Consider the following 11,146-nt stretch of genomic DNA (forward strand, 5'->3'; position numbering starts at 1 on the left):
ATGTCACTAAAGAGCAATGAAGTCATATCAGTGTAAACCAGATGGTAACTGAAGGGTTTTCCTCATTTGCATCCTGAATTTCCACAATACTACTTCCCCACTTCCCAGTACCACTTCATGGAAAATGTTGGACTTTTCTAGGTCCTAGATAATTAGAATTAAATTGTAAACTTCCAAACCTTTTATGTCTGTGACCTAAAGTAGCTCTCCACTCAGAGGCTTCAAAAACTGACAACTATATCCTAGATATAGTTTCATTCTCCTGTTCTGTATCCTACCTAAAACATCATCTCCCAGCAGTCAGAGTGAAGAATTGTCAACTTTTTGATCTTGTAGTGGTGTTCTGTATTTTTTAAACTGGTATTTCCATAATTTCAAAAAGCATGAAATCCCCTACCTAAAATTATATTTACATTGCTCTAAAGAACTATCTATGGGCTTCCAGAAAGAAAAGCATGATGGAGTGGTGGTACCTCACTTACTACATTAATCAAGTGACTTGGCCACTCTGTATATGTGGGTAACAATTCTTAGCTCTGAGGGCTTTATGGGTCAATATGAGATCATTGTCATTCATTTAGCGACTGTTGATTGAACACCTCCCAAGTAGAAGGCATAAGGCTGTGAGCTCTGGAGGAAACAAAGATCAGTTAGAGAAAGACAGTGCCCTTAAGGAACTTAGAATCTAGAATGGAAGATTAAAATTAATGGCTGTGATTTAAGGTAGAGAGTGACAGAATACCTTCAACCAGGTCCCAGAGCAAACGTCACCTCCTCCGAGAGGCCTTTGGAGCACTCCAGCTCATGTGACCCTCAAACACTCTTTACCACCTTATCTTGTTTCACTTTCTTCTAGCACTTTTATGATCTGCTATTATCATAGTTTTTTACTTTTCTCTTTACTCAATTTCAGTCTGTCTCTTTCTTCAACACATGAGCCATGTGAGGGCAGAGGCCTTCTCGGTCCTGTTCATCACTGCAAAACCATGATCCACGGATGCTCATGGAGGAGCAAATGAGAAATTCAAAATTAGAAGTGAATATAATGCAGAAGTGAGAAATTATTTTGATGTGTAAAAGAACTTGGTAAAAAGCTAGCAACTTTTCCAAAGGAAAAAATCTGGTTTGTAAGTTTTACGTCGTTTCTGGTGAACTCTACAGAGAAATTTCTTTCCCAAGATTGGGCCTAGGCTCCAGGCCCAGGGAGGAGCCACCATTGAATAAGGCTTGAGGAGAGAGGGGAGTCCAACTTCTAACCAACTCCTGGGAGTGATTACCCCGATCTCACCCTAGGTATGGAATGACTGACTGAAGTCATCTTCCTGGGGAATAAAAAAAATAAAATCAACTCTATTGGATGAAGCAGACTTTCACATTGCTCCTAGCAAATAACTTAATACAATTTGATTTAACAGATGCCAATGCCTTGTGGGAACAAATATATAAACTTACATCAGGGAGGCTTTACCATTAAGAGTACACTTTATGGCCAATATACGAAGCACCTACAGGGCAACTCCCCTTCAAAATAGAAAAGAAAAAAAAAAGAACACTGCAAATGCTCTATGATAATTTTTACATGATTAGACAAAGTTTAAACACCTCAGAAAACATCCATGCTTTGTCTGAAAAAACTATAATTGCCTAATAAAAAGAAAGTCACCTATAATTCCTATGATTTCTTTTCTTATAGTTCTTGTAGGATCAATAATAAAATGCAAGTTTTTACAACCTCATTATAGTTAAATCGCATTTACTAACAATGACCTCTTTCTTCATTAAAATAATGTTTCCTTCGATAACTACTGCAAGCGTCAAGCCAATTTACCCAGGGCTGTTTGATTTCCATATTGCTTAGTGCTCGCCACACTGGACTCAACTCTTCATGTTTGCAACCTCAACAGAACTTCTCTCCACTGGGTGACAGTGAAAGAATACTCTTTCTTTGCTGTTGGATTTGTTCCTGTCCCAGGAAAAAATTAAAGAAATCATCTTCCTATATGTTTCAGCCTGGGACATGAGTTTGGTGGTAGTTTAAAAATTAATTTGGCTTTGATGTTAGATATAAACCAGGAACTCAGGACACAGTCCACAGGTATTGAAATTCCCCTGAAATAGGTGTGACAAATGACATCAAGAGCCTCTGCAGGAAAACAACTCACATTTTTAAAATGCCTACTGTATGCTAAGCATCTACATGTGCTATCTTGTTTGATCTAATGCCAAAACATTTAACTATGTGTTATTTACTACCATGCTTTATATCCTGCTGTCTGGGGATTTGATGGTGTGAAGAAGTGAGAACCTACACTCAAAGGCCATATATTTAAGTTTCATAACAACCTTTTGGGATGAGTGACTACTATTCCCATTTTATATATAATGTAGGTTTCAACTTGGATAGGAGCTCTCTCCATCTTGCTATGCCCTGTGGAATCTGTTTGCATGAAAGAGTGAAGAAATTTATGACAGGAAACTCACACTAAGGGAAGGGAGAGCTGAGCACAGTGATCTTGACCAGGTTATGAATACCCTATTTTAGAGGTCAGCAGAATGTGGTGCCTGCTATTGACATCCCTGGACCTATCCATAGGATTCATGTCTGGGTCCTGAGACGGCAAGGGAATGTAAAAGAAAACAACAACTACATTAATAAATAACACAAAGACCCAGCCTGGGCAATATACCAAGACCCCATCTCTACAAAAAATTTTCAAAAGAGAGTTGGCCAGGTGTGGTGGCGCCTGCCTGTAGTCCCAACTACTCAAGAAACTGAGATGGGAGGATTGCTTGAGCCTGGAAGGTCAAGGCTGCAGTGAGCCATGTTTGGGCCACCACACTCCAGCCTGGGTGACAGAGTGAGACCCTGTAAATAAATAAATAAATAAAACTTTAAGAGTCATTTCTCTGGAAGCTGCATGTGCCCATGAGCCAGAAACAGTGGGCTTTAGTGCCACCCTTCTCTGGCCCAGACCAGAGAGTCCCCTGCCCAACATCTATTCTCTCTCTTTGTTTTTCCTAACATAACCCCAACTTTGTTCAGTTATCTACTCTTCCTTTTTGACCAGGAAGCTTACTCTGGGGAAACGGGCCCCATCCCCAGTCAGGGGGTGCACTTGACCCATCTAGGAGTAATCTTTACCCCTTTGCCATTGACTGGCTCAAAAGTGAGCAAGACTCCATCCAGCTTTGATAGGGTCTTGTGAGAAAATTATCTCACATTCCTTTAGGAGAATGTCTGGAAGCCACCTCTTCTCTCTGCACACAGTCACAACGGGCATGTTCTGAAACTGCTTCAATTGTTTTGTTACCAAATTAAAACAAAACTGAACACTGAGTAGGCAAAGCCAAGAGACTCACAAGAAAACAGAGTTGAAGTCCATGGTAGTCAACAACCTGAAAGGTGCTTTGGCAGAAACAATTCCACCCAAAACTGTTCTCCCCATTTTCCATGGGGTTTTGCTAAGCTGGTTTTGCTGAGCACCTGGCCATCCAGAGTAAAGATATCATCTCTCTGCAGTTTGGTGTGTCCATGTGCTGAGCTTTGGCTGAGGGAATATAAACACAAGAGTCATGTGGCAACTTCTGGGAACCTCCATTACAAGAATGCTGGGTCACGAACATCTTCATCTTTCTCTTCTTTCAGTTGCTGGGAGCATGAATACAATGGCTGGAGCTCTAGTTACCAATTCAGCCCATGGGGACAATGCCACACTGATTTAGGAAATGGCAGAGCTGGAAGGAGTCTAGAAGAAGACGAAAGTTTCTCCAGATTCTATTGAGTGCTGTTATTATAGAAGCCCTGGCCTTCCTATCTCTGGCCTATATGTGAGAGAGAAACAAAGCTTGTTTAAGCCACTGTTAGTTTCAGTCTCTGTTTCTTGCTACCTAACCTAATCCTCACAGATACATATACTTTCTTACCTTTGGACACCTACTTTATTGTTCAACAGACAATTTCCACTTGTTTGAGCCATATTTGGTTGAGTTTTCTATTAATTCTCAACCACAAACATCCTAAGTAATACACAGAATGAGGTAGTCTTATCTGCACTTAGCTACAAACCACCTTATAGTTTTGACACATCAAGGCATGCAGTATATTGATGGCCACACCAGGACAAATATACCATTGGAGAGGTGCTGCATATCACGAGACAGCACTGTTCACTAGCAGCCATCAGAAATAAAGGTACCCATCAAAAATTAAAGAGAAAAGTGCATTCCACATGATGTTTGACGTGATAGCTAAGTGGATTTGTATAGGGGTTAATGAAAGGCACCCTAAGACTCTCAGAAATATTTGAGGAATATTCCATTGGCTTGATGGAATATTCTTTATCATCCTTAAATTCAGCTGTTTTAAGCAACATGTTGGTGAGAATAGAAAAGGTTGAATTACATACTGATTAAGAAATAAACTCAGAAAGAATGTATAACATTCACAACTTCATATAACTAGTCTCACAATTTGAACCAACATCAAATCCTTATGAAGAGATACTTTAATATCATGGGTTTTTTTTGTAATAAATGTTATTACCTTCCTCTAAACAAATGCATCCTTGTGTTTTGCCAAGAATTTTCTAACATTGGATGAAAACCCAAATCATATTTGCAGTAACACCCACTTACCCAAGATAACAGAAGATAACCTATCGGGAATATTGGAACCCACAAGTTCCCTTCTAAATACAAATACTTTGACTCTATGATCCAATCCCTGATGTTTATTATAAATTTTAAATTATATTTTTCTTTTAAAAAAATCCAGCTCCTGCAGAAAAGTGTATTTTTGGGCTCAATCCCTAAAATTTTTAATAATCCACATATTCCCTTTAACCTTAAGTAAGAATAAATAAACTTTAGTCCGGTATTGAAATAATTCAAATAATTTTCACTGTTGTTCAATTGTTAAAAATTAGCTCTCCAGTTTCAACCAGTTGGCCTCAGCTTTGGAGCACATGTAAATTGGTAAATCTGGCAGAGAAAAGGCAGACATTTTTCCAAGGATCGGCCAGAAAATGTGTGATTTTTTTTTTCCCTGCAGGCTGTTGGCTTACCAGTTGCAAGGGGTGAATCTCAAGAGATTCAGAAGCTCAATCTGAATAAACAACCAAAACTTTGGAGGCTTATCAAAACTCTGGCAAAACTAGGCCAGAAGTGGACTCTGTTTTCTAGTGAGGTTTCCAGTATTTCCTGTTTCCAGTGGAACTGGACTAGCTCAGGAAGATTCTACTAATGACTAGAACCAACTGGACATAACTGGAGAACACGGAAAGATTGAAACAAAAAAACAAGAACAAAAACATGAGAAAAGATAGTGTGTGCTGTTTCCAGCTGCAAGAGAGATGAAGATCATTCAAACATGGTGCTGAAAGTAAGTTGACCTGTTACTTTTATTTTCCTAGAAAAAAAGTCTGAAGGGTTTTATTCTTTCTGATTTTGATCTCTGCCCCAAAAAGAGATCTACAAGGTGGCCGCCATGCCATCTATGGTGTGGACTGCAAGCAAATCTGTGCAATGGTCCAGTGTCATGGAGTGCGATTTATCTACCCTTAGCCATTACTAAATTTGTGGCAACAAGTTGGAAGAGGCTATGATGCAATCTGTGATAAATAATAGCCTGATTATGAGTCATCCTTCCCAGAGCCAAACAGGACTATCCTCTGTCATTCCAAAGAGGTGGGCAATAAATCTATTTAGAGAAGGGGATCCAGAAGAGCCACTGAAGAGCAGAGATAACCCACTGTAGTAAACACAATTCATTCAAACATAACATCCCTTCCCGCCTTTTTGTGTGTCTGCCTGTACAGCAGAGGGTCAGAAAGTCAAACAGTATTTTCCAGGCTATCTTGCAATAGAGTTCTAGATATTTGGATTCTACTAATTGGAATCACTAGTGAAAGCTTTGAGATGGTTAGTGAGATGAATGCCTCACTTCTGCTTCTGTTATTTCTGGAGGCAAACACCACTACGGCAGAATTAGTATAGTCTCAGTACCCAGGCCTCAGCCATCTATTTTACAAGTGTGGATTGTAGCAGATATGTCAAAATTCTGAAGCTGCCAAATAGCAGGGACTTCCTTATCATGGCATATCACCTGGTCATGTTGTTGTCTGTGTATCCCATTTCTACTGCCTTCCTGATTGTGGCTCGGATGGGGTATTTCTAGAGCACGCAGCTTTTGCAGGAGCTTTCAAATTTTGTGAGTAGCATCATGTTTATGGGAGATTCTGTGGCTGCCTTGGTGTCGCTGTTTTGTAGTATGCCTTTGCTAGCTGGTCCTATAAACAACCTCCCCAGTAATTTGGTAAGTCACTGAATACCCCTTAATCCCTTTCTCCTTTAAACTGGCTAGAATGTATTCTGCTCTCTGCAGCTGGACTCTGACCAATGCACCCTCTCCCTTACATCTACAGAAATTCCAGTTTCTTCCCAGTTTTGCACATGGACCTGGGAGAGACTGAATGAGGAGTGAGGGTGGAGAAGGAAACAGAAGGGGGGTTTCCAGGAGCTGACTGACCTAGGGGAAATTTTTTATCCAGGAAATCTTTTTGAACTGATGAGTTGCAAAGGAGAGAGAAAAACAGAAGCCAGGAAATGGAGCCAAGGTTACAGCAGAGGAGAAAGTAAATTCTGTGGTAAATGGGAGAGGCTTATGAAGGCAGAGACTGAGAATGAGTTGAAAAGTCAGTAGTAAAAAAGAATTGAGAGCATGGGGTAAGGAGAGATTCAACTCTGGGCAATCCCAAGTACTTCAGGTAGCTGAGGTCAAGTTTAGTCTGGTATTGAAATAATTCAAATAATGTTCACTGTTGGATTGTGAATTAGGTAAAAATAGTCTCAAGTGCCCATCCCACATGCCCTAACAAATTCAGGACTCCTCCTAACACACCAAAGTGCCTTGGAAAGGAGAGGTAACTCATGTTTTCTCAAATCCTCTCAGGGCCCTGCTTCCACTCTATCCTCCATCTCAGCTTCCACCCTCCAGAAGAGCAGTGCCTCTCCCCAAGGTACTGCCTGCAGGACACCACTTCAAATGTTTGGCTTCTCAAAGTGCCACCAGTTCAAGACAACACACAGCAGACTTCACGCAAGGGTTGGGAAACAGCGGATATTATAGCGTAGCTTGTTATAGAAAACCGCAGCACTGAATGTGAGTCTCTTTCTTCAAAGTCCCTTGGCCAACGTGGCCCTCAGATGCTTCTCTTTGGGTCCAGGTGTGGGGGCTCACAACTGTAATCCCAGTACTTTGGGAGGCCAAGGTGGGGGAATCACTTGAGGTCAGAAGTTCGAGACCAGCCTGGCAAACATGGTGAAACCCTATCTCTACTAAAAATACAAAAATTAGCCAGGTATGATGGTGCACACCTGTAGTCCCAGCTATTTGGGAGGCTGAGGCAAGAGAATCACTTGAACCTATGAAGCGGAGGTTGCAGTGAGCTGAGATCACATCACTGTACTCCAAGCTGGGCAACAGAAAGAGACCCTGTCTCAAAAAAGAAAAAGAAGATTCCCTTTGGTTCTTTCTCCTCCTTGGGCTCCTGCTTCATCGTGTAATGTGTCAAGACCCTCCTCTTCCCCAACAGCTAACCTCAGCAAATTATTTTTTATTTCTTCTGTTGAGCCATTTACATTTTTATGTCTCTCCTCATCCAGTGTGGCTGCCCAGATGACATTTTCTCCAGGCAAAATGGGCCATGGAGACAGTTTGTCCTCTAAGACATTTTCTGCCACTAGCTCTTAAATCAGAGTAGGAGGTGGTTTTGAAGACATGGTAGAGAGGGTTTATTTGGATCAAACTCCTAGAGGAAGAATGGGGAATGGCATCCAGGGCTCAGACGGAAGTGACAATTCTCCTTGAACCCTCCCACGAGGTGGGAGAAAATTGCAGAGGTAGGCAAGAGAAGAAGGGACAGAAGAGAGAAGACTTCCCACTCTCTTCCTGGAAGGCTGAGAATCAGTGGGCAGTTCCCTTTGCCTTTTAATTCAGCCTTGGTGCATTCCATGATGTCAAAGCCTGGTGGTTAGGAGTCTGCACTATACTGAGAAAAATGACAGAATTCCAAGCCAAAAAAACAAAGTCTGCGCTAGAGCCAGGTTGCCTGAAAATAAACCCTCACTCCACCACTTACAAGCTGCATGGTTTCCAGGCAAGTTTGCCTGACTCTCTGCATTTTGTAAAATGAGGAGAGGAATATTACCTATCTTATAGGGTTTATGGGAGTATTAAATGAGAAAAGCATAAAATGCATAGAACAGTGACTTAAATATCAAGTGCTCAATAAAAACCAGCTATGTTCTGGTAAGGGGAGTGGCCTCTTAAAGGAACCAGACTGGGATAGACACATCTTCTAAGACTCAGCAAGAATGAACTGGGCAGTAAAGTAAGATTAAGGGATTGAGTCCCCCACTCCACTGTTGAAAGCTATGTGGCTTTGCACACAGTGTGTAACCTGTCCAAGCTCAGTTTCCTTACCCACAAAGTAGGGGTGATTATATCTACCTCCTGGGGCTCTTCTGGGGATAAAAGACACTAACACTTATAAAGAGGATGGCACAGTGGCACTATAAAGTCTGTCCTTGTCTGGAAAGTGAGCTCCACACCCAGGCTGATCCCTCATTCTTACTCTTCCTCACTAGCCAGAAGGGATTAAAAACACCAGCAACAAGAATTTAGGAATGTCTCTCTTGCCTTCCTCTTTTTTTTTTTTTTTTTTTTTTGAGACAAAGTCTTGCTCTGTTGCCCAGGCTGGAGTGCGGTGGTGTGATCTTGGCTCACTGCAACCTCCACTTTCCAGGTTGAAATGATTCTTGTGCCTTAGCCTTCCAAGTAGCTGGGATTATAGGCATGGCCACCATGTCAGCTAATTTCTGTATTTTTAGAAGAGATGGGGTTTCACCATGTTGGCCAGGCTGGTCTCGAACTCCTGACCTCAAGTGATCCACCTGCCTCGGCTGCCCAAAGTGCTGGGATTACAGGCATGAGCCACTGTGCCTGTCCACCTTCCTCTCTCTCTCTCCCTCTCTCTCTCTCTCTCTCTCTCTCTCTCTCTCTCTATATATATATATATATATATATATATATATACACACACACATATATATATATACACACACACATATATATATATAGCCACTGTGCCTGTCCACCTTCCTCTCTCTCTCTCTCTCTCTCTATATATATATATATATATACAGCCACTGTGCCTGTCCACCTTCCTCTCTCTCTCTCTCTCTGTCTCTCTCTCTCTCTCTCTCTCTCTCTATATATATATATATACAGCCACTGTGCCTGTCCACCTTCCTCTCTCTCTCTCTCTCTCTCTATATATATATATATACTTCCTCCTGTATTCTCAATTGACATTATTAAAAAAAACGATTAAAGTTGAAGCAACAATAAATATATCTTTATAACAATAATTCTTATAACCAACTGATTGAATAAACCAGACTTGCCAGAAAGCAGACAGAATCACCTTATTCATTCTCCCATTGCCCAATCAATGTGCTCTTTGGCCCTCTTCTTCCCTACTCTGGGATGAAACCTTAAGTGAGATCCCATAGCTTTCTCCGTCATTCTTAGATAATAAAATGGTCTTCACATCATGTTCAAACATTAAGGAGATCCATCCAGTGTAATAACCAAATAATCAAAACTGCAAGCTCCTCCCCTAGTTAAAACTTACCCATTCCCCAACACAGTAGAAATTTACCCCTACCGTAGGCAAGGGGGTCAATTTCTCTGTACTTCTTACAATTCAATTTCTCTGTACTTCTTACATTTCAATTTCTCTGTACTTCTTACTCCATCTCCTACCCCATTCGTTAGTTTCTGATTATGGACCTTTGGGGTCCAGCATAGGGGGACAGGAGGAGGGGATGGAGGACACGACTTACTTGAAGGGAGAAGCTACTCAGGGCATTGGTGCCCTGTGGCATGGCGAATGTCCCTGCAGACTCTTACTCTCCTGTAGCTCTGTGGCTGTCTCTTTGGAAAACCTCCTGCTGGGCACCTCCACATCTAACCCTTTTGACATAGGGTTAGATTCCTGTCCTTCAGCTGGCCGCTTTGAACTCTCCACTCAGCTCTGACTTCTAGCAGCCAAAACCTGTCCATCAGGATAAGTGGGCAACTGTCCTTTGCACATCCTCTTATAATTTGGCATGCACAAACAGTATGAACTCAGCTTCCCAAAGAATAACCGGAAACACAACATTTTCCAGTTCTCTTAGTGCAGGGCATGAACAAGTGACAAAGATTCTATGAATCAGAGGCACCATGTTGAGGCTTTCACACTGAAGTTAAACGTGAGCAAACAGGCAGGTGGGCATGGCCTCCACGGTGCTGGTGGGTGTGTCCATAGGTGGGTGTGGCTTCCATAATGCTGGTGTGGGTGTCTCCAGGTGCCGCTCAGCCCTGGAGTCAGTGGAGGGCCGGCATCAGCTGCCTTCTCAGGACAGTCTCTCTGGTGAGGTTCTGACACTTGGTCCTAGGGGAGCAGACTAGGAACTTATTCCCAATATTTTGTTAAGTCACTAATGCCCTCTGATAAATTCCTTTCTAGTTAGGCTGACTGGCAGTGGTTCTGTCATCTGCAACTAAGAACTCTTACCAAGGTAGAATCCCTCTTCCCCCATGAGAAGATTGTTGAGCCAGCTCCCTTTGAGGATGACTCTAGGCTGGCTTCCTTCCAGAAGTCACATCCAAGGGGTTCACTATCGTCAACATGCAGCTTGCTCAGACAACCACCACTTGTCTCCACTCTACTGTCAGAGAAAGGTGATTGGCCCAGCCCCCCTCCTTCAAACTCTTCTCATTGAGAGTCTCAAACTGGTCCCTGTCCCCCCAGCCCCAAGCTCTAGGAGACTCTTACACATCTCTGCAAGCAGCTCTCCAAACACTTTCCTCACTAGGTTCCAGGTGAAGGGAACATGCTCCCTTCCCTATCTCTATATAGTGGGCACAGAAATGCCCAGCACCCTCATGGTGTACCCCAACAGCTTCTTACTCTTCACTGGACTCCTCATCTCTTTCTTCTCTTCTTCTATAGCCCAGGCAGGGCTGATGGGCTAAAGCTGGCCAAACAAGCTTTGCAATTTCACAGCATGTTCTGCATGGCTGGCTTTTGGGGCTTTG

At 42.2% G+C, this 11,146-nt stretch overlaps 1 protein-coding gene and 1 long non-coding RNA gene across 2 annotated transcripts in view, besides 1 other annotated feature; both read left to right on the plus strand.

Moving 5' to 3' along the window:
* The window catches only part of LINC02357 (long intergenic non-protein coding RNA 2357), a 33,504-nt gene extending 29,645 nt beyond the window's left edge, over nucleotides 1–3,859 (plus strand). Inside the window, exon 3 of the long non-coding RNA XR_925506.3 lies at nucleotides 3,647–3,859. This is a non-coding gene — a long non-coding RNA (long intergenic non-protein coding RNA 2357). The remainder of the gene's footprint in view (nucleotides 1–3,646) is intronic.
* Nucleotides 3,735–3,784: an enhancer, noted in NCBI's record as "active region_21387". NCBI's record gives its function as "activates an Ori minimal core promoter by ATAC-STARR-seq in GM12878 lymphoblastoid cells {active_cell/tissue: GM12878}" and the evidence as "EXISTENCE:reporter gene assay evidence [ECO:0000049][PMID:35858748]".
* Nucleotides 5,051–11,146, plus strand: part of RBPJ (recombination signal binding protein for immunoglobulin kappa J region) — a 329,683-nt gene continuing 323,587 nt past the window's right edge. The window contains exon 1 of the mRNA XM_047415656.1: nucleotides 5,051–5,380. The gene's annotated coding sequence lies outside the window, so the exon portion shown is untranslated. The remainder of the gene's footprint in view (nucleotides 5,381–11,146) is intronic.

This window comes from Homo sapiens, chromosome 4 (genome assembly GCF_000001405.40).
Source record: "Homo sapiens chromosome 4, GRCh38.p14 Primary Assembly".
Taxonomy (NCBI): domain Eukaryota; kingdom Metazoa; phylum Chordata; class Mammalia; order Primates; family Hominidae; genus Homo; species Homo sapiens.